Raw genomic sequence first — 27,955 nt, forward strand, 5'->3', positions numbered from 1 at the left:
CCCGCGCTCCTCCCTGCGCGCCGCTCTGCTCCTCCCTAGTCCCGCCTCCAGCTCCGCCCGGGCGCCCAGAGGGCAAATGAGGGGCGGCGGGGTGGCGGGTGGGGGGGAGACGCGGAATTTCCCAGCGCGGGGGCTCTGGCTTACCCTGCAACCGGGCAGTCTCTTTCTGTTTACGGAGAGAAAGGGGAAATGGAAAAGTCGGGGAGGCGGTGGCTGGCGTCCGCTGCGCCGCCCCTGGGCAGGCTCAGACGCCGTGAGTCAGGGGCAGAGCAGGGCGGTCTGAGCGTGCGGGCGACGCGGGTCTCACTCGTCCGCTCCGCTCTGGACTGCGCGCCACGCTCTGGGGTCCGGCGCCCTGGTTCCTGCTTCTGCCGCTGCCGCCGCCGGATCCCAGTGGCCCGGCGTGCTCGGCTCCCACAGGCCTGCAGCCAGCATCGCACCGAACCTTCGGGGGGCCGCGGCTGGAGCGCTCGGCCGGCGTGGGAGCGCCAAGGCCGCAGGTAATCCAGGGTTGGGGGTCTCCGGCGTGTCTTTCGGGTCGCGTCCCGCCTGGGTGCCCCGGGGATTCCCATGCAGAAATGGAGGGTGCCCCCAGCAGAGGGGAAAACTCTGGCGTGGGAAGAGGTGGGGGCGTGCCCACAGCTGCGCTCGCGGGTCGCCGGCTGCACCAGGCACAGCTGGAAAGCACCTTGCGCAAGGGTCTCACGGGGTGCAGACTCGCGACTCCTCCCCCTTCCTCCTCCTTCCCGTATCCGCAGCGCCAGGGCAGTGCTGGTCTGGGCAGTGCGCGGGGAAGCGGGGACCCGCTGTCACTGCGCCTCCCGCTGCCGACGCCGCCTGGACGGCCGCACTCTCCCTGCCCGAGACCCGGTGAGTGCAGCTCGGAGGCTGGAGGACCCGATCCTCCCAAATGCTGGGTGCTTTGATAATTTATAAGCCTTTTAGGCTCCCTTGACTTAGAGAACCAGGAGGAAAGGAGTGGGAGTGTGGGTTGGCGGAGCCCAGAGACTTGTGAATGGCTGGAACTAAATTCAAGTTTGTAACCCGGACTCTATCCCATGACTAAAGAGGTCATAGCAGAACACGAAGGCTGGGCTTTTGGTCTAAGAAAGAATACTAGGAGAAAAAAAAAGTTATTTTCACGGAAGTTGTTTTCGAGCGATAGTGCATGATCAGGACTCTGAAATTTTTCTAGCTCTGGGCGGAGAAGGACGCCTAGGGATTGTCTCCATAGTTAACAGGGGAAGGCCACCGGCTGCCTGTAAGAGAGAAACGTTGCGATGCTTGTCTATTTCACTTTTGGGAAGACAAGATTAAAGGCTGCTCTTGATAAAAAACAGGGACAGAAAGGCTCTTGCAGTTGCTTTACATACCTGTGGCCTGAGTCGTTTGTGCCAAGGAGAGTGTAATCCACTTCCAGCTGACGCCCCCAGCTCTCTGCGACGGATTGAGGTTTGTGTGCAGGACGTCTGGCATACGGCCCATGAGGACTTTGTCGTGTAAAGCAAATGGGAACGTTGAGGCATGTAGAGGTTTTGAAGCAGAGTGTCGGTCCTTCCTTCCATACGCCTGAAACGCATAATCCGGGGCTTTTTGAGAGCAAAAACATAGTCAGAAATGTGCCCTGAGGGAGAATGTACTATTTTGGCACACATATGTATATATGTATATATAATTTTTAAATTTTTTTTGAGAGGGGGTTTCACTCTTGTCGCCCAGGCTGGAGCGCAATGGCGCGATCTCGGCTCACTGCAACCTCCACCTCCCGGGTTCAAGCGATTCTCTTGCCTCAGCCTCCCGAGTAGCTGGGATTACAGGCGCCCGCCGCCACGCCCGGCTAATTTTTGTAGAGACAGGGTTTCACCATGTTGGCCAGGCTGGTCTTGAACTCCTGACCTCAGGTGATGCACCCTCCTTGGCCTCCCAAAGTGCTGAGATTACAGGCATGAGCCACTGTGCCCGGCCTAAAAAAATATTTTAAATGAGAAATAACACAAGTAATAGTCATTCTTTGTTAGGCAGAAGCATATGCTGTTATGCTGGCCATTTTCATTCACACTTGCCAGGAAACACTCACATTTTGTTTCTGTATATGGAGGCAGCCAAGAGTATTATGTTAATGTTTAGGAAGAGAATTTCCTCGTGATTTTATTGCTGATTTCTGAAATAATTCAGTGTAACTAATTTTGACTGTATTTGCACATCTCTCCAATTCCAAAAGCTGGCATAATTTTCTGTTTGGTTAGGAAGTAGGAATTTTATGAGGACTTTTATTGTAAACTGTGTCAAGGGAAAAATCATCTTATACTAAACGTCTTTATTGCCAAACTAGAATACCTTCACAATCTGAACTTTCTCTAGATGGGCACAGATCATGAATAACTCAGAAACCATTAGCATATTGTGTGCTTAATTAAGGCTGGAAAGTGCTGAGGCTTTTTGCAGGCGCAGTTAGCAGGCGAACTGGTCAGCAGGGTTTCTGGGGAACGTAGATTTGCGTGACAGGGGCCCTGTGTTGCTAAGGAATTACTGCAGGCACTGAGAAAAGTCTCAGCGTCAGACACTCCTCCACCTCCCGGGTCCTGCTTCCCTCCCTCTCCCCTTTCCAGGCAACTCACAGTTTAGGGGTGTGGTTGTGTGTGTTCAAGCTCTTGGGTTTTACATATAAATGCCTGAGACTTTTCTGCAGGGTTTAAAAACTAACATCTTGTCTTACAGCTCTTTTAGGATTTGTCTTTTAGAATCTCCAGTCCTCACAGGAAAACCCCCCAATTAAAAAAATAAAAGAATAAAGAATAAAAAGAATACCACTACTACTATAAAAAAAAAAAAAATCCTCTAAAATTTGTCTTCCCAGATCAGCAGAGTGAATTTGAACTGTGTGGACTTTTTTCCTCTTTCTTTCTTGAGTCATGTTAGTACTGAGAACTTTTTTTTTTTCTGTCAAATCATCTGTTTGATAAATAAGTCCAGGAGACTTGGATCCTTTCAACCCCTGAGGCCCTAAATTAGGCTGTTTTTTTTTTAACCTCTGTGTTTCCAGTAAATTCGACAAGCAGAAACTGCAACTAAACGGCTCAGTAAAACCGAAGTCAAATGTTCCTCCATTAATCTAAGAAGTTGCTCTCCTAACTCAGCAGACTCCAAGAACCTGAATCACAATCTCCCTCGAAGATGTACAAGATCTCAGGAGGGGAAGCTGCCCCCTCACTCTAGATTTCACGGTGGTGATAACAGCCATGAAAGCATTTCATAGGTTTCTGCCTTTTTTTTCTCTCTCTTTATGTCTTGTTTTAGATGCAATCTTCTTACCGCGAAGAAGCCAGGGGAATAGGTAGCCACATCTTGTTTGCAGATAAGAAAGGAAGCTAACGCAGTATCTGCAAAGCCAGGAGTCTGACTCAGTACTTTTCTCACTCATGCATACAAAGCAGCTAAAAATGACACAGCTTATTTACCATGCCCCTGACACTGCACTGAGCACTTTATGAGCTTGAACTCTGTTAATCCTCACGACCACCTCATGAGGTAGGTGCTGTTATTACTTCCATTTTACAGATGGGGAAAATTGAGGTCGAGAGAGGTTACGTTACTTGCTCAACGTCATGCAAGCAGTAAATGGGAGTGTGGGGGGAGGCAATGAGATTTGACTCCAAGCAGTCTGAGACCAGAGGAATGTTGGATTGCAGGATGCTAAACTGCTTTCCTCAGACACAATTCATACGTCAGAAAATGACCATCAAGTAAGTGAATGATGACACTAAATTGCATGGTTCTTTTGTCAAATGAAATTCACTGAGAGGCAGATGGCTGGGTCATGCGTGCAGGTGGCTCTGCAGTGGAGCATTTCCTGGAGCTTTGAAATGAAGCTCCAGATTGATCAGACGTGCGTGGCTTTAGCCCTGAGTGTCCTGTGTGTTAAAGGCTTGTGCTTCTCAGAACTTGAAATACCTTTCAGAAAGAGGCTATGCTTTTGGGAGTGCAATCGGTGATTTAAGTAAACCAATGTGCCTTGAAATTCTCTTAGATCTCTTAGGGCCTTTTGTCTTTTCTCCTTCAGAACAGAGTTGTTCTAAAATCCTGAGTAACAACGTCAGTTTTTACCCTTGCTTTACTTTCTTTTTCTCATCTACAGATCTCCAAGTGTGGCAGCTGATTTGTATATAAGAGCTGAAATGCAATTTTGGTTAATATAGTCACTTGGACTTGCTTATGATAAATTTGACTTTCCTGGCTTCTTTCTACTACTCACAGCTTCTAGAAGGCCATTTATTTAGATATTAATCTTCTGGGACCCTCAAGATGTTTGCTTTGCACTATTAAAGAATTCTGGTCCTAAGGGAGGACAGCTGAATCATAGGTTAAATGTATCATCATCTTTCTCATACTCATCACTGGGAGAACAAGGTTTCCTGTCATCCTTCCAATTAGCTGTTTAACTCATTTGCATAAGAATCATTCCTGAAACTTGACCTATTGCCATCAAATTTGTGTAGATTGAAATCCATTTTTCCAGCTTCTGGCTTTCAGGGCCTGAGTTTTATTTGCCAAGTTAGCTCCTGCATTTAGTGAAGAGGTTATTTTTCTTTAAAGTCACCAGAGGCATAAAAAAGCCATAGCGATTCTTGCAGGGAGGGTGCCACTTCGGGGGAATAGCTGGGTTGTGTAAGGTTGGAAGCCCTAAAGAGCCGGTAGCCTAAGGTCTTCAAAGATTTCTGAGCTGCTCTTGATTCGTGTGTATGTTTAGTGAAAGTTTGTTTTCAGTGCCTGTAGCTGATACCACTGACTCTGTGAGTAAGAGTAAGCTCTCTGGATCTCAGGTTTCCCTCTGCAAAGTGAGCTGGACTAAAGGTTATCTTAGGTCCCTTTCAACTCTGCACTGTCAACTTGAATTCATACACACAGTTGACACAGAACCCTCGTTTTCTGAACAAAAGCATATAAAATCCTGTTGCCAATCCTTGTATGTCAGTTTCCCATGGGTCTTGAATGCAAATACAAATATCGTAAACTAAATATTTGTGTTTTCTTTCCTAGACTCTCCAGAAAGAGCAACAGTAATGGAGTACATGAGCACTGGAAGTGACAATAAAGAAGAGATTGATTTATTAATTAAACATTTAAATGTGTCTGATGTAATAGACATTATGGAAAATCTTTATGCAAGTGAAGAGCCAGCAGTTTATGAACCCAGTCTAATGACCATGTGTCAAGACAGTAATCAAAACGATGAGCGTTCTAAGTCTCTGCTGCTTAGTGGCCAAGAGGTACCATGGTTGTCATCAGTCAGATATGGAACTGTGGAGGATTTGCTTGCTTTTGCAAACCATATATCCAACACTGCAAAGCATTTTTATGGACAACGACCACAGGAATCTGGAATTTTATTAAACATGGTACGTTTCTTTCCGATCAGTTGGGTGCTATGTGCTCAGCTTTCCTACTGCAGCTTCATTTAATGCAGAGTGGTGTTTGAATTTGGCTTAGATGGGCTGGCAGGCATGATTTTAAAAAATGTAATCATCAGTAAGAAGTACTTCCATGTTAAAGATGCAAAAAAAAAAGTCTTCATTAAAATTTCTATTTAAAGATTCTTGATCATATTTTAGTAGTATTTCTACAAATAGGTAATTAAGAAGAATGTATTTTGGCCGGGTGCAGGGGCTCACGCCTGTAATCCGCGCACTTGGAGAGGCCGAGGTGGGTGGATCACTTGAGGTCAGCAATTAGAGACCAGTCTGGCCAACATGGTGAAACCCCGTCTCTACTAAAAATACAAAATTAGCCTGGCATGGTGGCGGGTGCCTGTAATTCCAGCTACCTGGGAGGCTGAGGCACGAGAATCCCTTGAACCTGGGAGGTGGAGGTTGTGATGAGCCGAGATCACACCACTGCACTCCAGCCTGTGTGACTGAGTGAGACTCTGTCTCAACAACAACAAAGAAGAATGTATTTTAATTTAACAGTTCACTAAAAAGTTTATTCATCAGTTATGCAGAAAAGAAAGGCTTAATGAGACTCCTTCGTCTGAGAGGGGAATAAACACTTTGTCACTAATTAATCTTGAAGGCTGAATTATTTGTTCCTTTCTTGTCACATCTTGAAATGTTATTAATTCATTTCTTGCAAAAATGTAGTATGTAGGCAGTAAATAGCTATCCACAGATTCACTCTCTTTCATTGGCAAAGTATGAATGGCAAGTGATATATTTGCTTAATCATCGCAAGTATGCAAATCATGCAAAATATTGTGGCAACATTTTGTTGCCATAATAGTAGATCAGGTGATGTGTTTAGGTGTGCCTGGGATTCTGTCAGGCTTTTAGTATGTCAGAGGTGAACGTAGGTGCTGGCTAAAGGTAACCTAATATTTTTAAAAAGAATAATTTGCAAAGGAGTAGGTGGTAGCTTGCAAAACATGCTTATTGATGAAAGTGACGCCCTTTCTTTTGGTGTATCTAAATGGCAAAATGGCTAATGTTGGGGGAAAGTCGGTGCTGAATGAGTGCGGAGTCCAGAAAAAGTACTTAATTATTTTGCTTTTTTGCATACCACATTCATTTAATTAAAAACAACAGAGTAATTTAGGTCAGGTATGTAGTGAATTGTTTTGTCAGAAGCCAGTCATACTCAACCATAGCTCACAATGGAGCAAGATAATATTTTGCATTGTTGTGTGACTGCTTTGGTCTGGCTCTATCAAGCTCTATTTAATAGTCGACTAAGTACTTTACCTTCAGAATATTTCTTCCTTTTATAAATGAGAAATAATCATTTGAACTAGAAGCCATATCTGATTTTCCCAAATAAAGGATAGTTGGAGAACTCGGGTTCAAAGTTATATATATGTCTATACCGAGAAATATAATTGTTTGTGTATTTCTCTCATTTTTAACGTATTTATTTGTTAAAATGGGAATTAAATTTTTTTTAAAATCCTGCTCCTTCTATAAAAATGAGTATTTTAAATGAAAATATGCAGAAAAAAAACCAAAGTATTCTTGCTTGTAAATATGCAAAGACTTAGGTATGTTTGCTTATTCCGTGGCCTATCTGGGAATGTACAGAAAGAAATTCAGGAAATTTAGAAGAAATACAAAGAAACAACATTCTGAAGTCTTTTAGGAATGGGACCAGAAAAGTTAATCCTAAAAAGAAGAGAGACTAAGACATTAAGATGAGGATAAAATTGTATCAGCAAAGGGTTTGAGTAAAATGTTGTCATTACCTGCTGTGGGTCCTGTGCTCTTTAAAAGAACAAGTACATAATTAAGGAGAATTCTTTTTTTTTTTTTTGAGACAGAGTCTCGCTCTGTCACCCAGGCTGGAGTGCCGTGGCGCAATCTTGGCTCACTGCAATCTCCGCCTCATGGGTTCAAGCAATTCCTCTGCCTCTGCCTCCCGAGTTGCTGGGATTACAGGCCTCTGCCACCATACCCGGCTAATTTTTGTATGTTTAGTAGAGATGGGTTTTCACCATGTTGGCCAGGCTGGTTTCGAACTCCTGACCTCAGGTGATCCACCTGCCTTGGCCTTTCAAAGTGTGGGGATTATAGGCGTGAGCCACCGCACCTGGCCAGGAAAAATTTTAAGAATAAACAAATACATAAGTAAAGGCAGGGATCTTGAAAAACTTTAAAAAGATTTTTATTTTAAAATGATCAAGAATATAACATATAAAACAAGAAGACTAAAAAACAGAAGAGAATAAGAGGAGGACCTTAAAATCTATTGGATCTTAGATATGGCCTCGCTAGGCAAATCGACCCAGTGGTCGATGGCTCTGGGGGGCTGCGGTTGACTTTCCTGCCACTCACATTAAAGATGGACTACATTGCTGTGCCTGCTAGGTAACCCATCAGAGCTCCATGCTTCATAAATGATAGCCTAGGAATTGGGACTGTCATCTCTGATTGTAGTCACTTCAAGACAGTAGTGAGGGAGGCAAGGCTTGCTTTCGGCTCCCTTTCATCCTCACGTGGAACATTGGAACCACCCAATGTTCAAGATCTTTCTATTCCCATCATCTTCCACCCACTACCCTATCAGAACTTTACTCACTGGGCTTCATTTGCTGCTCTCTAACTCTCAGCTTTAGGAAAATAGCAGCTGATTGGTTCCTAGGTAAAATCCATCTATATGATGTATCTACATAGGGATGGGGAAACTTTCATTCAAGTATTTACCTATTCATTTGCTAGACACAGCTTGGACATCTGCAGTGCGTCGGGTGCTAGAGATAGTATGGAACAGTCTGTGCCTCTGGGAGCTTGCTGCCTGGTGCATGCAGGATGCAGTTGAATAGGCAGTTATAGCAGAGTATGCTGCTTCCCAGCACGTGTGCATGCTGTTTGCTCTGGCAGTGCACAGGCAGGATACTTTACATAGCCATGAGTGTGGTAGAAGGAAGGAGAATGTCAGCACAGCCTTCCAAGAAGGATTTATGCCTAAGCCGAGGTCTGAAGTGTTGAGTTGGAGTCAGCTAGATGAAGTGGACAGGGTCCAGGTGGAGAAAACAGCATGTGCAGAGGTCCAGAGACATGGAGACCTGATGTATTCAGGCAGCCAACAACCACAACACCATTGAGTTATTTAGACAGGGTAGAGAACCAGGAATTACAAAAGCATCCTGAAGAACAGGCATGTTCAGTGATTGTGTGTGTGATTTGACTAAAAATAATATTTGTTAAAGATCCCACCAACATCCAGCAAGATCTGGGGAAGAAGCTTTGGGAGACTAACCTGGGAATTGCTTTGGGTAAGAGTGCTGCATGTTATTTATCATCTACGCTGATTCATAACCTGGCCCGGGAACAAATAATCTAAAATGAGTTCCAAACACTCAACTCTTTGGTGGTTTTATGGGGACTGAAGGACCCCAAAACCTTCACCCCTTTTTTACAACTTTATATCTATAAGTGTGAGAGCTGAAGATGTTCCTTAGGGCTTAGTCATGGAGTCATGGCTTCTCAGAGTTGAAAAAGCCTTTAAGATACTTGAGTCCAGCCCTCCGTCTAGTACTCAAATCACCCTGTTCATCATCTCCAATAATTGGTAGAACATTTTGGTATGTTCTTGAAAATCTCCTGTGACAAGGAGCTCATTACACACTGGGACACAAAGTTTCCTATTTGTCCAGTCCTGACTGTAAGAAAGTTCTCTTCCTTATATAGAACCAAAATTCATCTCTGACCGTTTAGTGCAAGCCCTACTTATTGGCCATTAAAAAAAGTGCATATGATGAGCAGTGGTGAAGACGATGGGTCCTGAATTAAAGTACCTGGGTTATGTAGTTCAGCTCTGAAATGGATTGGCTGTGTGACCCTGGGCTGGTCATTTCACCTGTCTGTGCCTCAGTTTACTCATTCATAAAATGGATAACATCATGACACTCCATAGAGTTGATATTTGGAGCAATTAATGAATACATGTGACCTGGTTACACATAGTGAGTGTTAAATGAACTCGAGGCATTGTGGGAGTTACTGTTGTATACAATTGTTACACCCCTTCCTTATGACAGTCCTTCCAAAATTTTTTAAATTGCATGTTCCCCAGATCTTGTCTCTTCTTTCACATGCATTTCCAACTGTGTGCATGACTTCTCATGAATTGTACTATTAACTCTCTCATCATCTGGGCAGGACCCTGTGAACTCAAGCTTGTATTAGTGTCTATCTTAGAGCCATATTTTGAATGTGAGGATCCATTTGTTGTGATCAGCAGAGTGGGACAGAGCTAGCTTGGCCTTTGTGCTAGATAATATGCCTGCATGAATATAGATCGATACCATGTCTGTTTCATAGTAGCATATCACACCAGTCACTTGTGGAATCTATTCTTACTATAATACTTAAAGAGTTTTCTCAATATGCTGCTTCTTGGCCCAGTGTTGTTTCGTATAAATGACAGTGATCTGGATGAGGAGATAGGAAGTGTGCTTATAATGCCTGCCCTTACAGGTGATTTTGGTAAGTTGAAGAACTGGCAGAGATAAGCAGCATAGAGTTCCCTAAGATGGTTTGATAGCGCTGGGTGTGGTGGCTCATGCCTGTAATCCCAGCACTTTGGGAGGCTGAGGCCAGAGGATCACTTGAGCCCGAGTTTGGGACCAGCCTGGGCAACATAGTGAGACCCCCATCTCCACAAAAAAATAAAAAAGTCAGCCAGGTGAGGTGGCACACACGTGTAGTCCCAGCTACTTGGGAGGCCGAGATGGGAGGATCACTTGAGTCTGGGAGGTTGAAGCTGCAGTGAGCTGTGATGGGGCCACTGCACTCCAGCCTAGGTGACAGAGCAAGACCCTGTCTTAAAAAAAAAAAAAATTTATACGGGCCCCTAGAAAGAAGAAAAATACCCATCTAAAATTTAAATACAGGGTTCGAGACCAGCCTGACCAACATGGAGAAACCCCATCTCTACTAAAAATACAAAATTAGCTGGGCGTGGTGGCACATGCCTGTAATCCCAGCACCTTGGGAGGCTGAGACAGGAGAATCGCTTGAACTCAGGAGGCAGAGGTTGCGATGAGCTGAGATCGCCCCATTGCACTCCAGCCTGGGCAACAAGAACGAAACTCCATCACAATAAAATAAAATAAAATTAAATTAAATTAAATACAGGGGATCTGGGGCTAGGGGAAGAACCAGGCATTTGCAGAACTGCAAACTGGTCAGGACTTGCACATTACACTAGAAATTCAGGGCCCATCATGAAAAGAGCCTAGGAGAACTCATAGGCATTGAAAGCTGGTCCCCAGAATCTGGGAAGTTATAAAATAGGGGTGAATGGGGGTGAAGGAACTTGCATTATTTGATCTACAGAGGAGAAGGCTAAGGTATGCTCAGAAAATATGTAAACACATAAATAACTGAGTTATTTTTATAACCCGGCATTTAATAACTGGGTTTTCATCTTAGCTCAGCTTTAATTATGGCCTTCTGGAATATACAAGGCTCTTACCCAGACTAGGAGGTATGCTTTGGAGTCAGACAGATCTGAGTTCAAATCCTAATGCCAGCACTAACTAGCATGTTCCTTAACCTCTTGAAGTCAGTTTCCTCATCTGTGAAATGGAGATAAAAATAGTAGTTAAGCTCAGACTATTGTAGACTTCGATGAGATAATGTATTGAAGTACTGAGCACATTGCTGTACTTAGAACTCAACAAATGGCTGAAATTATCTTTTGTCCTCTTGGACAGAATAAGAGGACACTGGTTCGAGGTGGGTTATAGGCCAGGCACAGGTGGCTCACACCTGTAATCCCAGCATTTTGGGAGGCCGAGGCGGGTGGATCACTTGAGGTCAGGAGTTTCAGACCAGCCTGGCCAACATGGTGAAACCCCATTTCTACTAAAAATACAAAAATTAGCTGGGTGTGGTAGCACGTGCCTGTAATCCCAGCTACTTGGGAGGCTGAGGCACAAGAATGGCTTGAGCCTGGGAGGCAGAGGTTGCAGTGAGCCAAGATCTGCCACTCCACTCCAGCCACTGCACTCAAGCCTGGGTGACAGGGCGAGACTCCGTCTCCAAATAAAAACAAAAACAAACAAAAAAACCTAAACTGGGTTATAACAAATTTAGGTTGGTAAAACTTTCATGAAGATGAGTTAAACACAGAGATGGTTCACTGGAGGGTGAGGTGAAATCAGGCCTGTAAATATTTAATGACAAGAAACGGAAAATCAGCAAGTGCTCTTGAGTGTTGTGAGTAGGGTTCTGTCTAAATGTGAAAAGGGACTAAATCTATCATGTTCTCAGCATGCTGCAAAAGAGGCCTCCAGCAACCAGAGGCGACATACAGGTTATCTTTCAAACAAGGCAAGACCGCCATCTGCACTTATTCATGTTAGCTCTAGGGCCCTGCACAGGGTCTCACACAGCAGAAACACTCAGTAAATAGTTTCTAAATTTAATGACTTCATATTTCTAAGCATTAGAGTTAGTCTCTGCTTTATTCCCTGACTAATAGTGAACACATCTGTTTGTGGGATGTGTAGCTAAAATTAGCAGTGGTGGAGCTGACTGAATGGCCCTTACAGTTACTAGAACTATTTCTGTAGCCGTGTCCCTAATAAGAAGTCCCATGCATCTGCAGATGAATCAAGAGTTCATTCTCTTCCCATGTGGTAGATCTGGGGATTTGTCACATTCCCTTCAGCGGCTGCTGCTGCCTCTTTTAAGTTTTAAAAAAATAGAAATGGAGTCTCACTGTGTCACCCAGACTGGTCTTGAACTCCTGGCCTCAAGTAGTCTTCCCACCTTAGCCTCCCAAAGTGCTGGGATTATAGGCGTGAGCCACCGCACCTAGTTGTTCAGCTTCTTCTGTTACTTGAAATAAGTTAAGGTCCTTTAATAGTTTCACAATTCCTGAGCCAGGCGCCGTGGCTCACGCCTGTAATCCCAGAACTATAGGAGGCTGGGGCAGGTGGCTCACTTGAGGTCAGGAGTTTGAGACCAGCCTGGCCAACATGGTAAAACCCCATCTCTACTAAAAATACAAAATTTAGCCAGGCGTGGTGGTGCGTACCTATAATCCCAGCTACTCAGGAGGCTGAGATGAGAGAATCCCTTGAACCCAGGAGGCAGAGGTTGCATTGAGCCAAGATCGTGCCATTGCACTCCAGCCTAGGCAACAGAGCAAGACTCCATCTCAAAAAAAAAAAAAAAAAGAAGAAGAAGAAGTTTCATAACTCCTGAATTCAGAATCAGAAGCCATAATATTACTGATTACATTGAGGAGAAACTGGTACTGAGGCGATTTATCCCTTGAAAGAACACTCTGGACATGTTACAGGCACGCGTTCCAGATTGCATTTCCCATGAACTACCATATTATTTTGTTTTAATTTTAATTATTTTCTCTTCTAATTTTTTCCTCTTTAAAAATTGAAATATATTTTATATATAGTCAAATACACAGATGTTAAATGTCCAATTTTACGAGTTTTGACAAATGCATGTGCCCTTGAAACCCACATTGCTGTCAGAATAGACCTCTTAATTCTTGTTTTATTATTTTAAAATTTATATTGTGTTTTTATTTTTTTCTGTAGAAATGAAGTCTCGCTATGTTGCCTAGGCTGGTCTTGAACTCCTGGCCTCAAGATATCCTCCTGCCTCAGTCTCCCAGTATGCTAGTATTACAGGCGTTATCCACTGCTCCCAGCTGTCTCTCAATTTTTGAATCAACTAGTTTCAAAACTTCTAGTTCTAAGAGTTGGCTTGCTCATGAACCCTGGGAGGTCAGGGATCAGCCATCTCGTTTGTGGCTGCCTCCGCAGCACCAAACACAGTGCCTAGCACCTATTTTGCAAGCAATAGATAACAATGCATGCGATAGATATTAAGTGAGCAAGTAGATGCAAAGTAATTCTGCCCTCACTTAATTTACATAGCATTGTCAACTCATAGCTCTGACATACGCTGTGGTTTTCCAAAATCTTCCATGATCATCAGTTAATTTTGATGTTCTTTCTCTGTATGCGTCATGTGTGAGTAATAGCTATGTGGACTAACAGGTTCGCACATTGTAATAGAAACAAGTCAACCTGCAGGCACGGTTTATATTTACGCAATCTTTATTTTCAGCCTTTTGGTTGCCGTAGTCATGCTTTTTTAGATAAATAATTTTTAAAGTTCTATTTGGCAATTAATTACTCATGAGTAGGTGGAAATATGACCAGGTCTGACCAGGCACCTGCATCTGTTACATGCTCTCTCTGACTTCCTCAAGCTCTAAATATAGTCTCTGTACAGTTGGTAGGATTAAGCACAGTGACATTAATTTCATAACTGTGTATCAGAATGCTGCTAAAATAACCAGCTTCCTAATAGGTGGGTCTTAGAAAAAGCCAGCTTGACTGAAGTTCTCACCGTCTCACATTTTTATTTTGTTGTAGGTCATCACTCCCCAAAATGGACGTTACCAAATAGATTCCGATGTTCTCCTGATCCCCTGGAAGCTGACTTACAGGAATATTGGTTCTGATTTTATTCCTCGGGGCGCCTTTGGAAAGGTATACTTGGCACAAGATATAAAGACGAAGAAAAGAATGGCGTGTAAACTGGTATGTGTTTTCTACCTAGATAACCCACACTGTGTGTTTGGCATTCTGGCTTTTGTTTTTTTGTCCATTTGCATTAACCAAAGGTTTTTATCGTTTGATTGGGTCTTATCTGAGGGTGCACTGCCTCAAAGCATTTGTTTTTCTGAATTTATTGGCTACTTGGGGCCATTCAGCCCTAAAATCTCTGTTTAGGTGCATAGTTGATTTTAATCTAGATGATTAAAAGGATAAGTGCTGGTTTTTAAAGCACTGATTTGGATAAATAACATCATCACTCTTGGAGAGAAGTAGAGAAGAGCCATCCTGCAAAGTAGGAGCAATTCTCTGTGCTTCTCCTTTCATTCCGCCCACTGCAGAGGGGGCCAGGCAGAGGCAGAAACTGGGAAGGAGGTAGCCTTTTCAGGAAGGCAGATTTAAAGGGCTGAATTTAAATACATCAATGATTGAAAAGACCCTATCCCAAATTTATTATTATTATTATTATTATTATTATTATTATTTGAAACAGAGTCTTGCTCTGTTGTCCAGGCTGGAGTGCAGTGTCGGGGTCTCGGCTCACTGCAACCTCTACCTCCTGGGTTCAAACGATTCTCCTGCATCAGCCTCCCAAGTAACTGGGATTACAGGCACCTGCCACCATGCCCAGCTAATTTTTTGTATTTTCAGTAGAGACGGGTTTCACCATGTTGGCCAGGCTGGTCTCGAACTCCTGACTACAAGTGATCCACCTGCCTAGCCTTCCAAAGTGCTGGGATTACAGGCATAAGCCACCGCGCCCTGCCCTTATCCCTTCTTATTAAACAATAACTGCCAAGGTGCCACTACTTTGGAAAACTGTATCTACATAAGGTGAGCATTCACACCCCCTATGACTCAACAATTCCTCTCCTGTAGGTGCACTCACTCCACAGAGACCTGTCCACGTGGCCACCAAAAACTAAAAGCTATGTGGTAGCATGTTCATATCTGCACTATTTGTAAGGGTCCCAAACTAGAAACTTCCAAAATGCTGAAATGGGATATATTTACTTAGTGAAATTCTGGATAGTAAAAAGAATAAATGATTTACAACTATAATAATGTGGATTAATCTCATAACCATTATGTTGAGCCCAAATAGCCAGACACGAAATGAGATCTACTGTATGAGATTCTATTTATATAAAGGACCAAAACAGGCAAAACAAAATCTGTGCTACTGGATGTCAGGATGGTGGGTACCCTTGGAGAGTAGCGACTGGAAGGGGCCAAGAGGGGGGCTTCTTGAATGCTAGTAGACATCTGTGTGTTTTTTCTGGTTTGTTTTTCTTTTTGAGACGGAGTCTAGCTCTGTCGCCCAGGCTGGAGTGTAGTGGCGCAATCTTGGCTCACCTCAACCTCTGTCTCCCGGGTTCAAGCGATTCTTCTGCCTCAGCCTCCCAAGTACCTGGGATTACAGGCACTCACCCCCACGCCTGGCCTGACATGGTTTTTCATTTTGATTTAGATGGGGGTTACATTTGTACGTTCAGTTGATAATTCATTGAGTTGGACCCATCATTTTTACACTTTTTTGTATGTCTGTTTTACTTTAATTAAATTTTCAAAAGTATAACAAAATAAAATACACTCACTTTTGATTTAACAAAAAATAAAATAAATAATTGCCAAATATTATGTCTTGGTTTCTCTTATTGTAATAAGAGAGTAGCTGGGATTACAGGCATGCACAACCAATGCCTGGCAAATTTTTGTATTTTTTGTAGTAACGGGGTTTCGACATGTTGGCCAGGCTGGTCTCGAACTCCTAGCCTCAAGTGATCTGCCTGTGTTGGCCTCCCAAAGTGTTGGGATTACAGGCATGAGCCACCGCCCAGCCTCAGTGCTTATTTTAAATACATTGCTATAATAGAGTATGAACTGTGGCAACAAACACTTCATATTATCTCACAACCAACTGAAATATTGAAAATACAACCTAAACTCAAGGTACCATAGATACTGTTGTCTAATAGGTGGGAAATTATCTCTTTTTTGATTCATTCATAATTTTAAAACTTTGGATAGATTTCTGACTTCTAAATGAAAAGAGTAACTCATTATTTTGTTTTTTATTTTCTTGTTCTGAATTTTATACTTAAAGCTGACTAACATAGTTAAAGGCAGATCTGAGGTGAACATTATTGTAACTGGGCAGTCCATTTTCACACAGGGCAGAGTATTCTTGAGGGCATTTATTTGCCTTTTGTTTTTTGCATTGACCTATATTTTATATTTTTAAGATGACTTTGGGGTTATTTAGAATCTCGCTTGTATTTTTGTGTTCTAGATCCCAGTAGATCAATTTAAGCCATCTGATGTGGAAATCCAGGCTTGCTTCCGGCACGAGAACATCGCAGAGCTGTATGGCGCAGTCCTGTGGGGTGAAACTGTCCATCTCTTTATGGAAGCAGGCGAGGGAGGGTCTGTTCTGGAGAAACTGGAGAGCTGTGGACCAATGAGAGAATTTGAAATTATTTGGGTGACAAAGCATGTTCTCAAGGGACTTGATTTTCTACACTCAAAGAAAGTGATCCATCATGATATTAAACGTAAGTATCTTTGGACATATACCTTTTTGGCTCAAAGAGACTAGTTATTCAGGAGACAAACAAGCTCCTTCCTGTAATCTGAAGACCCTCCATGGAGGGTGGAAAGCTCCCTCAGAGCACCGTCCGTCTTCCTTCTCCAGAGACATATCTTAGAATCATGCGGGGTTACTAGAGCTTTCAAAGTCATAAGGAAAGATTACTTTCAACAGTTGTTGAAAGGTTATAGCTACATACCTATTAGGTACTGCTCTGTTAAAAAGGCTTTTAAAATTGCAATTTAGGCTGGGCACGGTGGCTCACGCCTGTAATCTCAGCACTTTGGGATGCTGTGGCAAGTTGATCACCTGAAGTCAGGAATTGGAGACCAGCCTGGCCAATGTGGTGAAACCCCGTCTCTACTAAAAATACAAAAAAAAAAAAAAAATAGCTGGGCATGGTGGTGGGTGCTGGTAATCCCAGCTACTTGGGAGGCTGAGGCAGGGGAATCATTTGAATCTGGGAGGCGGAGGTTGCAGTGAGCTGAGATGGCGCCATTGCTCTCCCAGCCTGGGTGACAAGAGCAAAACTCCGTCTCAAAAAAAAAAAAAAAAAGCAATTTACTTAAAAACATACAAACACAGAGACAAGTATTTTTGAGAAACAAATACCTTTTTCATTTTTTATACCAATGTAACAATAATCCATTAAACACACCTTTACTAACTGTTTTCTAGGAGTCTGATATGATGAGGAAATAGGTAAACCTTTAATAGCCAGTACTAAATTAGAGTGGCACAACTTTCACTGGGAAAAAAGATGGGTATTTTACTTTTCTGTTTTAGAAAAGTGGCTTGACAACAGTATGCTTATGTCTTAGAGTTTGAAATTCAAGTTCTTGAACATTATTAATGGCTACAATCATTCATACCCACATTGGCTGTATTCTTGATGGATCCAAAGTGATTTTCACCTCAACTCTGAATTTCATTCTCCTCTTTTGAATATAATACAACCATCTCACTAGAGGAAGCATTTCAGTCTTTTCTGATTGGAGATTCATTATTGTTTTAGATAATGTTTTCATTTGACTTATGGGTATATAAAAAATTTTATCTTAAAAATATTTCCTCTCATTTTAGCTAGCAACATTGTTTTCATGTCCACAAAAGCTGTTTTGGTGGATTTTGGCCTAAGTGTTCAAATGACCGAAGATGTCTATTTTCCTAAGGACCTCCGAGGAACAGAGGTAATTATGTTCACATGAAAAGGGTTACTATTTTATTAAGAATAAAAAGGAAAAAATGTTCTAGAATTATTGTGGGAACGAAGGACAAAGAAGGGGAAGAAACCCACTGCATTAAATCATTATTTTCCTTGGAACACATTTAATGAGCACTTGCTCTGTGTCAAGTACTAAGTTTAGCACTTGATTTTTTATTGTATTTTTTGCTATGTTATTTATAATACATAATAGTATTTGTAATATAATATACATGTTGATATATATAATATAGAACATTTGTACACAATGTCATGTCAAAATAGATCACATTGGCCAGGTGTGGTGGCTAATGCCTGTAATCCCAGTGCTTTGGGAGGCTGGGGTGGGAGGATCAATTGAGCCCAGGACTTTGAGACAAGCTTAGGCATCATAGCAAGACCCCATCTCTATAAAAAAAAACTGGTTTAGGCTGGGCACGGTGGCTCAAACCTGTCATCCCAGCACTTTGGGAGGCTGAGATGGGCGGATCACCTGAGGTCGGGAGTTTGAGACAAGCCTGACCAACATGGAGAAACCCCGTCTCTACTAAAAATACAAAATTAACCAGGCGTGGTGGCGGGCACCTGTAATCCCAGCTACTCGGGAGGCTGAGGGAGGAGAATCATCTGAACTCAGGAGGCAGAGGTTGAGGTGAGCCGAGATCGTGCCATTGCACTCCAGCCTGGGCAACAAGAGTGAAACTCCATCTCAAAAAAAAAAAAAATTAGCTCAGTGTGGTGGTACACGCCTGTAGTCTCAGCTAGTTGGGAGGCTGAGGTAGGAGGATTGCTTGAGCCCAGGAGTTCAAGGCTGCAGTGAGCCATGGGCATTCCAGCCTGGATGACAGAACGAGATGTTGCTTCAAAAAAAAAAAAAGCCCCCCAAAATAGATCATATCCACAGTTCGGCTTTATTTTGTGTGTTTTTGTTTTTGTTTTTGAGACAGAGTCTTGCTCCATCGCCCAGGCTGTAGGACAGTGGCGCATGATCTCAGCTCACTGTAATCTCCACCTCCTGGGTTCAAGCGCTTCTTAGTCTCCTGAGTAGTTGAGATTACAGGCATGTGCCACCACATCCAGCTAATTTTTTTTTTTTTTCAGTAGAGATGCAGGTTTCACTATGTTGGCCAGGCTGGTCATGAACTGTTGGCCTCAAGTGATCCTCCCACCTCAGCCTCCCAAAGTGCTGGGACTACAGGTTTGAGCCCCCGTGTCTGGCCCACAGTTCAGCTTTAATAATAATTATAGAATTAGAGTTAACTTTATAATAAGTTTAGCACTTAAAAAGCAGTATGTTATTTAATCCTTACAACAACCCAGTTGTTGCTATTGTTATTCTTATTTTACAATCAAGGAAATAAGTTTGCAGAGATTAAAATAAAGTGTCCAGAGTCACTCAGTGACAGACCCTGGACTTGAACCCAGTTCTTTCTAAGTCTAACCCTAAGGTCTAACTGCTACATAACTTTAAAAAATTATAATATTACATACATTATTAAAATATATTAGTGATATAACTAATATCACTGAGTTTTGGCTCAATGACAGTCTTAACTATGGTCATTAATATTTATGAGGACTCTAAAGGCCTCTCTTTGAGCCTAGGAATTCTATAATAAACCTCAAGTAGTGAGCATAAATGTATCTTATTTAAAGATGTAAAACAGCACTCATGTTTAACTCATCTGTGAAGCAAAAAACGACCCAGAAAAGCCTTTCTTTCCTGACTCTAAATGAGATTCTGAAAAATGCGTTCGCGGGCTTCCAAGTAATGTATTTAACATTCACATCATTAGGCTGACTGGGTGATTCAATTAGCCAGTGTCCACTGGGCATCTGCTATGTGGCAGGTTCTTGTGAGCACCAACGAGGAAGCATGACACAAGGCAGTGAGGAGCAAGCCTTAGTGGTACTCCAGCGATCCTCACTCTTTGGTGGGAGGACTTACTTTAAATTACCTGAATTATTAAAAGAGCAACCGTTTAGGGATGGGCGTGGTGTTCTCACACCTGTAATCCCAACCGTTCGAAAGGCCAAGGAGGTGGGGGTGGTTTGCTTGAGCCTGGGGGTTCGAGACCAGCCTGAGCAATAGAGTCAGACCTCATCTCTTTTGAAAAAAAAAAAGAAAAAAAGAAGGAAGGGAGGGAGGGAGAGAGAGAAGGAAGGAAGGAAGGAAGGAAGGAAGGAAGGAAGGAAGGAGAAAGAAAAAGGAAGGAAGGAAAGAAAAAGAAGGAAAGAAAGAAAGAAAGCATGCACAACAGTTTAGTTCACAGTTGATTGTGATGGGCACAAGGTTGGATGCAAGCAGGAAGGTAAATGGGTGTAAAAGCTGCCTCCTTGGCCCCTCACCACTACCGGGGGAAGCTGCACTGCCTGAGCCACTCAGCCCCATGCCCTTCTCTTTGCTGGAAGTGCCCATAGGAAATAGAGAGAGGGTCTTTGGCTGCACCTCTATGTCAGGATTACCAGGTCAGTCTTGGTGTTCAATCAGATGACAACCCTTAGTCTAGTCTAGCTAGTATACGTGTTGCACTGAACTGGATTGCAGCCACAAAAAAATTGTCTTCCTTTCAAACCAGATTCTTCCAGCCTGGGCAACATAGTGAGACCCCATCGCTACAAAAAGTAAACAAACAAACAAACAAAAACTTTACTTTTTGTAAAAATGGCATGGTGGTGCATGTCTGTAGTCCCAGCTACTCAAGAGACTGAGGTGGGAGGATTGCTTGAGCCCAGGATGAGGCTGCAGTGAGCTGTGATTATGCCACTGCACCCATAGCCTGGAAAATAGAACAAGACCTTGTCCTAAAAAAAAAAAAAACGCCAAGATTCTGTAAGTCCTTTCTCAACTCTCTCAAAGCCAGCACTCTCCCGGGCAGCAGAAGAAATCCTTGCTTTTGTGAATATTACTGAAGTTATTATTGAAAATGCTCGAGCGAGGATTCTTGACGGTTGTCTTTGAGCAGAACAATATTCAGAAGGGAAGCTGTACTTTTTTTTTTTTTTTAAGAATGCTTAGTCCCCAGATCTTAAGAATACTTTACCAAAGTGTGAGGTCTAATAAGACTTAATGCTTACGACATGTTTTCTTTGGAAAATGTTTCAGCATATTTGGCATTAGTCAGGAGTTCAGATATGTAATATTCCACCACCCTTTTTCCTGGAACCAGTTTGAAAAACAAACTATTTATGGTATTAAAGATGGAAAATACTTTTCTCTTCCTGGCAATGTGGTGAAGTTGAACATTTTGCAACATTGGAGAAAGAAGTGTTCTTTCTGGGGCTGTCTAGCGGAATGCATGGATATGAGATAATAACATATTTTACTCCTGAGTAGTATTTGGATCAGGTTTTTTTTGGCAAATGCAAATTGCTTTTTGTGAAGTGCAAAACTGTGCCTTGGTGTTTATAAATATAAACTCTCTTCTAATCAGCCTGCATTTAATATCTGCCTAGTACACACGAGTTGAAGTTTGATAATGAACAAAGTTGTGAAGTGACCAGTGAAACCTTTCAACAAGCTTGCTTTTACCCTTCCTACTTAAAGAGCCAGGAGATCTAATTAGTCAACTGTGCAGACTGGCTGATGTTAGAATTTGATCATGTGGCTACTGCACAGTCATAGACAATTTCTGATTTCTGCAGTATAGCTCCCAAATGCAAACCCTGGTTACCCCTGTTTGATTGCTCTCTCTAAGCATTGGTATTCAGAGCATTCTATTGTAACCATGTAATACACATCCAGGGTTAATCCAGCATATACAGAATAGACTGTTTTTGAGTTGCAAGGTACAGAGAGAGAATACATAGTGAATGCGAATAACAAATCAGAATTACTTTTAGAACTTGGTCCTTTTTGAAAAATCCTTCTAAGTCTGCTTGGTTTTACCTTTGTAAGTTAACATATAGTCATCACATGCACATATACGCACACACACGGTCTCTTTCCCTTTCTAATAAACATATTGAAAGGTGAAGGGTTCGATCGCTGACATCAAGGTTTTCTCTTGCTCCAGTGCCCTGCCCCGAGGGTGCAGAACTCTCAGAGAGCCCTGTGTTGGTCCCACCAGGGCTGTTTCATGCCTTCTAATCAGCCAGAGTGCTCGAACATTATGCCCTGCTGCTCCCTGATCTAACTGGTAGTTGGTAGAGCTTGAGGAACAAGAGCTCCGAGCCAGGAAGCTCTGGGGTTTCTACCTGAGTGGCAGCACCCAGGCCACCAGGCTTACAGATGTTCCATCCCCCCAGGCTGCCTAGGCGTGCAGTCACATAGAACCTGCAGAGCCACCTCTGCACAACCCCTGTGGGCTACACCAGCAGTGGGCACTCCGCCCAATCCTTGCTTTATTGGCAGGGAGGAGGGGGTACAGGAGAGAAGATAGGCATCCTCTATGGACAGTTAATAATACCCATTGCATTTCTTTTTCTTTTTTATTTGATTGTGGTAAGAACACTTAGCATGAACTCTACCCTCTCAACACATTTTTAAGTATACAATACACTATTGTTGACTATAGGTACAATGTTGTGCATTAATTTTTTAAGTTTGTGATATATTTAGTAGCAAAGTCCTTCTGGAAAGTCCTCTGGCTCTGCTGCAGGGAAAGCTTGAGAACGGGAGCTCAGTTTCACCTGTTTGCTGAGAGCAAAAGGAAGCTGGCCCGGAAGTGGCTTGCAGGAAGGAGTTGAGCAGGGTTAGGGTGGGGAGACTGGGCAGTTTCTCTGGTTTTTGTAAGCTAGTTCTCTAATTACTTACCCTGAAATGTGTTCCGGAAACACTGACCTCCATTCTCTTATTCACATGGCAGACAGTGTACAAGCTGTTTCAAGCGAAATACTGATAATCAGGATATTAACTACTATATGTCTGCACCAGCCATGAATACAAATCACTGGTCACCAGTGTTTGCTCTGTTCCTTTTTAAAAAAATGTTTAATTAAATTAGGTAACTAATTAATTTGTAAAGATGGGGGGTCTCCATCTTGTCCAGACTAGTCTCAAACTCCTGGGCTCAAGCAATCTTCCTGCCTCGGCCTTCCAAAGTGCTGAGATTCAGTGGCTCACGCCTGTAATCCCCACACTTTGGGAGGCCGAGGCAGGTGGATCACGAGGTCAGGAGTTCGAGACCAGCCTGGCCAACATGGTGAAACCCCATCTCTACTAAAAATACAAAAATTAGCCAGGCGTGGTAGCACATGCCTGTAATCCCAGCTAGTTGGGAGGCCGAAGCAGGAGAATAGCTTGAACCCGGGAGGCAGAGGTTGCAGTGAACCGAGATCGCACCATTGCATTCCAGCCTGGGTGACAGAGGGAGACCCCATCTCGAAAAAAAAAAAAAGCCAAAGTGCTGAGATTATAGACATGAGCCACCATGCCCCACCTCTCTTTGTTTCTTTCTTAAGTTTAGAAATAAATGCTCGTTAGAGAAACTATTTATAAAACCAGCCCTGTTTATTCAGCATGGACTCATGAGACCAAATATAACTTATACAATGTTAATATGGCTGCATTTAATATTTAGTCACTGGGCTACATAGTAGGTAAAAATAACAGATAGTTTGTAAAAATGACTCTTTAGAATCACTTCTACAATATTACACTTTATTTTTTAAGTTTTTCCCTTTCAAGAAATTTGTGTTAATACCCTATAGACTTCTATCACCTTTTATCATTGCAGATATTTAGAAGGTTAGCAGTGTAATGACAAACAGATAAAGAAGTCTGTTTGTAGTTCATTTAAATATAAAAGGAATTGGCGTTTTAGTTGAAAACTTAGCTACACCTGATCAGTGTACTGCAGAACTTTGATGAGTGGGAGTCCCTGATAGATTCCTGGTTCTAGGCTCTTTGCCACCAGATCAACCAGAAAAAGGTGGTGTTTTGTTTTGTTTTGTTTTGTTTTTTGAGACTGAGTCTCGCTCTGTCTCCCAGGCTGGAGTGCAGTGGTGCGATCTCGGCTCACAGCAGCCTCCGCCTTCCGAGCTCAAGCGATTCTCCTTGCCTCAGCCTCCCAAGTAGATGGGATTACAGGTGCCCATCACCATGCCCAGCTGATTTTTGTATTTTTAGTAGAGACCAGGCTGGTTTTGAACTCCTGATCCGCCCACCTCAGCTGGGATTATAGGTGTGAGCCACCGCGCCCGGCCAGGTGTTCTTCATCAGACTGCAGGGACACCTCCAGCAATTGCTGCATGGTTCCTGGGGAATGCCTGCATTATTCTCCTAGTTTAAGGCAAATGAGCCAATTTCCAGAACTGGATTAGGGAAATGGAAACCCACACAAAGGAGGGGAATGAAGCTGAATGTTTCCCACTTCTTTTTCAGATTTACATGAGCCCAGAGGTCATCCTGTGCAGGGGCCATTCAACCAAAGCAGACATCTACAGCCTGGGGGCCACGCTCATCCACATGCAGACGGGCACCCCACCCTGGGTGAAGCGCTACCCTCGCTCAGCCTATCCCTCCTACCTGTACATAGTAAGTGGGGTTCAACCAGGGCTGGGGGCGGCGGGGGGGGGCGTTGAGTTATGCATCCCGCAGGCTTGGGAGGGACTGCTCTGCCTTCTATACCACCCCCATCTGAATGAGGCAATGGTGAAATGACAGGTAGCTACAAGTTCTTCCCATGTAGAAGCAAGCTCCATTCTTGCAAAGAAAACATAGCTATTTTAGTGGGAGCTTACTAAAATGTGCATTGGGCATAATTTATGCTATTCCATTGTATGTGTAATAATGCAACACTACTTAGTAGCATCAGAGTAGCATAAATATTTCAGCAAAGGAAGTTGTATGTGTTCTTTGAACAGTTAAAACATTTTTTATTATTAATGTTCACACCAGTGTGGCTTGTAGTGGAACATGCAATTCCCATTTTACTGTTGATAAATTCAGGAGCAGACACTTCCCTGTTACTGCACAGTGACTTTTGGGACACTGATTTGAAGCTGTCACTGACATTCAAACCTATCACTTATCTTTTGTAACATTAAATCAGAAGATGGGTTTAACCTGGTATCCTTTAGAAATTAAAGTGGGCCAAGCACGGTGGCTCACGCCTGTAATCTCAGCACTTTAGAAAGCCAAAACAAAAGGATCTCTTGAGCCCAGAAATTCAAGACCAGCCTGGGCAACAAAGCAAGACCCCATCGCTACAAAAAATTAAAAAAATTAGCTAGGTGTGGTGGTGTATGCCCTGTGGTCCCAGTTGCATGGGAGGCTGAGGTGAGAGGATCACTTGAGCCCAGGAGTTCGAGGCTACGGTGAGTTGTGTTGGTGCCACTGTACTCCAGCCTGGATGACAGAGCAAAGACCCTGTCTCAAAAGGAAAAGAAAAAAGAAATTAAAGGGAAGCTTGCTTGCTTAAGGGCTGAACTGCATTCGTTGCAGGGCATGTGGTGGAAAACGGATTACTTTCTAGGTCCTGGTACTAGCATGCTTTTGCTGTTGAGGGTGTATCACCATACCTTTGATGCTAAGAGAGCTGGTTTGTTGATAGATCCACAAGCAAGCACCTCCACTGGAAGACATTGCAGATGACTGCAGTCCAGGGATGAGAGAGCTGATAGAAGCTTCCCTGGAGAGAAACCCCAATCACCGCCCAAGAGCCGCAGACCTACTAAAACATGAGGCCCTGAACCCGCCCAGAGAGGATCAGCCACGCTGTCAGAGTCTGGACTCTGCCCTCTTGGAGCGCAAGAGGCTGCTGAGTAGGAAGGAGCTGGAACTTCCTGAGAACATTGCTGGTAGGGACACCCTGCTGTGTGCCGCACACTTACTTCCCTTCTCTTTCTGTCCACATCAAACCTCTGATGTAGTTCATGAAAGCACTTGGAAAAAAAGGAAATGACTTCTTGAGTACCATACCTTGCTTGAGAAATTTCAGCAAGATTAGCAGAAGCATGTTTTTTTTTTTAAATTGGCTAATTTAGCACCAAATTATAACAGATTTTCAGTGCAAGTGTAGGTAGCACAGTCACTGGAAAATGCTTCTGACTTGCTTTTTTGCAACTTGCTTTTTTACAACTTTTGTCTTTGAAAACAGATTGAGCATGACAGCTTTGCAGTTGGTTCTTCTTAACTCACTTTTTTTTTCTTTTTTTTTGAGATGGAGTCTTGCTCTGTTGCCGAGGCTGGAGTGCAGTGGCATGATCTTGGGTCACTGCAACCTCTGCCTCCCGGTTTCAAGTGATTCTCATGCCTCAGCCTCCTGAGTAGCTGGGATTACAGGTGCCCACCACCACGTCTGGCTAATTTTTGTATTTTTAGTAGAGATGGGGTTTCACCGTGTTGGCCAGGCTGGTCTCGAACTCCTGACCTCAGGCAATCCACCTGCCTTGGCCTCCCAAAGTGTGGGGATTACAGGCGTGAGCAACCATGCCCAGCCTAACTCATTTATATTAAGCCACCCCAGTCCTTGGTGGGGGAACATCATGGCACTGCCCTGCACAGATAAAATACTCAGTTTGAAGTCAACTTGCATTTCCATCTTCCTTGGCTTAAAATCTTGCCAGTTGTAAATTTTTCCCACTTAGGAAAGTCAGTATGCTTTCCAGGAGCATTGAATATGCATAAAGAGGGATTTCCATTTTTATTAAAAGTCTGTGGCATTCTTAATCCATTTAGGTCCAAACCGAGATGTCAAGCCTGGTGCGCTTGTTTATATTTCTTTGCTGCTTGTCTAACTTTTGTGTATTTAAAGAGAGCAATCTGGCTGTTGGAAAAATATGCCAGGATTTCTAACTAATTTCTTGTCTCCATTGACTCCTGTTTGAACTTTTTGTTCTATGTCATATTATGTGAACTTAGCCATAGTGTTCAAAGACCCATCTTTCACGCTTAAGACACTGTTTTATTAGGCCCCAAAGATTTATTTCACTGCAGAAGGAACAGGTATTTATCATTTGACACGTTTTCTTGTTACTTACTTTGTAATGTTTTCCTTTTCAGATTCTTCGTGCACAGGAAGCACCGAGGAATCTGAGATGCTCAAGAGGCAACGCTCTCTCTACATCGACCTCGGCGCTCTGGCTGGCTACTTCAATCTTGTTCGGGGACCACCAACGCTTGAATATGGCTGAAGGATGCCATGTTTGCTCTAAATTAAGACAGCATTGATCTCCTGGAGGCTGGTTCTGCTGCCTCTACACAGGGGCCCTGTACAGTGAATGGTGCCATTTTCGAAGGAGCAGTGTGACCTCCTGTGACCCGTGAATGTGCCTCCAAGCGGCCCTGTGTGTTTGACATGTGAAGCTATTTGATATGCACCAGGTCTCAAGGTTCTCATTTCTCAGGTGACGTGATTCTAAGGCAGGAATTTGAGAGTTCACAGAAGGATCGTGTCTGCTGACTGTTTCATTCACTGTGCACTTTGCTCAAAATTTTAAAAATACCAATCACAAGGATAATAGAGTAGCCTAAAATTACTATTCTTGGTTCTTATTTAAGTATGGAATATTCATTTTACTCAGAATAGCTGTTTTGTGTATATTGGTGTATATTATATAACTCTTTGAGCCTTTATTGGTAAATTCTGGTATACATTGAATTCATTATAATTTGGGTGACTAGAACAACTTGAAGATTGTAGCAATAAGCTGGACTAGTGTCCTAAAAATGGCTAACTGATGAATTAGAAGCCATCTGACAGCAGGCCACTAGTGACAGTTTCTTTTGTGTTCCTATGGAAACATTTTATACTGTACATGCTATGCTGAAGACATTCAAAACGTGATGTTTTGAATGTGGATAAAACTGTGTAAACCACATAATTTTTGTACATCCCAAAGGATGAGAATGTGACCTTTAAGAAAAATGAAAACTTTTGTAAATTATTGATGATTTTGTAATTCTTATGACTAAATTTTCTTTTAAGCATTTGTATATTAAAATAGCATACTGTGTATGTTTTATATCAAATGCCTTCATGAATCTTTCATACATATATATATTTGTAACATTGTAAAGTATGTGAGTAGTCTTATGTAAAGTATGTTTTTACATTATGCAAATAAAACCCAATACTTTTGTCCAATGTGGTTGGTCAAATCAACTGAATAAATTCAGTATTTTGCCTTA

The 27,955-nt window shown here is 42.8% G+C and overlaps 1 protein-coding gene across 9 annotated transcripts, besides 7 other annotated features; it reads left to right on the plus strand.

The window, feature by feature from the left end:
- Positions 26-265: a silencer, noted in NCBI's record as "silent region_2267". NCBI's record gives its function as "represses an Ori minimal core promoter by ATAC-STARR-seq in GM12878 lymphoblastoid cells {active_cell/tissue: GM12878}" and the evidence as "EXISTENCE:reporter gene assay evidence [ECO:0000049][PMID:35858748]".
- MAP3K8 (mitogen-activated protein kinase kinase kinase 8) lies at positions 143-27,955 on the plus strand. 9 transcript variants are annotated; one of them, XM_047424624.1, is made up of 9 exons: positions 143-500; positions 759-870; positions 5,038-5,396; positions 13,904-14,071; positions 16,380-16,641; positions 17,760-17,866; positions 24,206-24,358; positions 25,377-25,623; positions 26,828-27,955. In XM_047424624.1, exons 3-9 carry the CDS (start codon positions 5,061-5,063, stop codon positions 26,956-26,958), a joined length of 1,404 nt encoding a protein of 467 aa, XP_047280580.1. In that variant the 5' UTR covers positions 143-500; positions 759-870; positions 5,038-5,060; the 3' UTR covers positions 26,959-27,955.
- Positions 706-805: an enhancer, noted in NCBI's record as "active region_3213". NCBI's record gives its function as "activates an Ori minimal core promoter by ATAC-STARR-seq in GM12878 lymphoblastoid cells {active_cell/tissue: GM12878}" and the evidence as "EXISTENCE:reporter gene assay evidence [ECO:0000049][PMID:35858748]".
- Positions 1,096-1,145: an enhancer, noted in NCBI's record as "active region_3214". NCBI's record gives its function as "activates an Ori minimal core promoter by ATAC-STARR-seq in GM12878 lymphoblastoid cells {active_cell/tissue: GM12878}" and the evidence as "EXISTENCE:reporter gene assay evidence [ECO:0000049][PMID:35858748]".
- Positions 1,270-1,807: an enhancer, noted in NCBI's record as "H3K4me1 hESC enhancer chr10:30724077-30724614 (GRCh37/hg19 assembly coordinates)". NCBI's record gives its function as "activates a minimal SCP1, AML or CMV promoter by ChIP-STARR-seq in primed H9 embryonic stem cells {active_cell/tissue: H9 hESC(primed)}" and the evidence as "EXISTENCE:reporter gene assay evidence [ECO:0000049][PMID:30033119]".
- Positions 1,808-2,343: an enhancer, noted in NCBI's record as "H3K4me1 hESC enhancer chr10:30724615-30725150 (GRCh37/hg19 assembly coordinates)". NCBI's record gives its function as "activates a minimal SCP1, AML or CMV promoter by ChIP-STARR-seq in primed H9 embryonic stem cells {active_cell/tissue: H9 hESC(primed)}" and the evidence as "EXISTENCE:reporter gene assay evidence [ECO:0000049][PMID:30033119]".
- Positions 1,896-1,985: an enhancer, noted in NCBI's record as "active region_3215". NCBI's record gives its function as "activates an Ori minimal core promoter by ATAC-STARR-seq in GM12878 lymphoblastoid cells {active_cell/tissue: GM12878}" and the evidence as "EXISTENCE:reporter gene assay evidence [ECO:0000049][PMID:35858748]".
- Positions 3,599-3,798: an enhancer, noted in NCBI's record as "active region_3216". NCBI's record gives its function as "activates an Ori minimal core promoter by ATAC-STARR-seq in GM12878 lymphoblastoid cells {active_cell/tissue: GM12878}" and the evidence as "EXISTENCE:reporter gene assay evidence [ECO:0000049][PMID:35858748]".

Source organism: Homo sapiens, chromosome 10 (assembly GCF_000001405.40).
Source record: "Homo sapiens chromosome 10, GRCh38.p14 Primary Assembly".
Classification (NCBI taxonomy): Eukaryota; Metazoa; Chordata; class Mammalia; order Primates; family Hominidae; genus Homo; species Homo sapiens.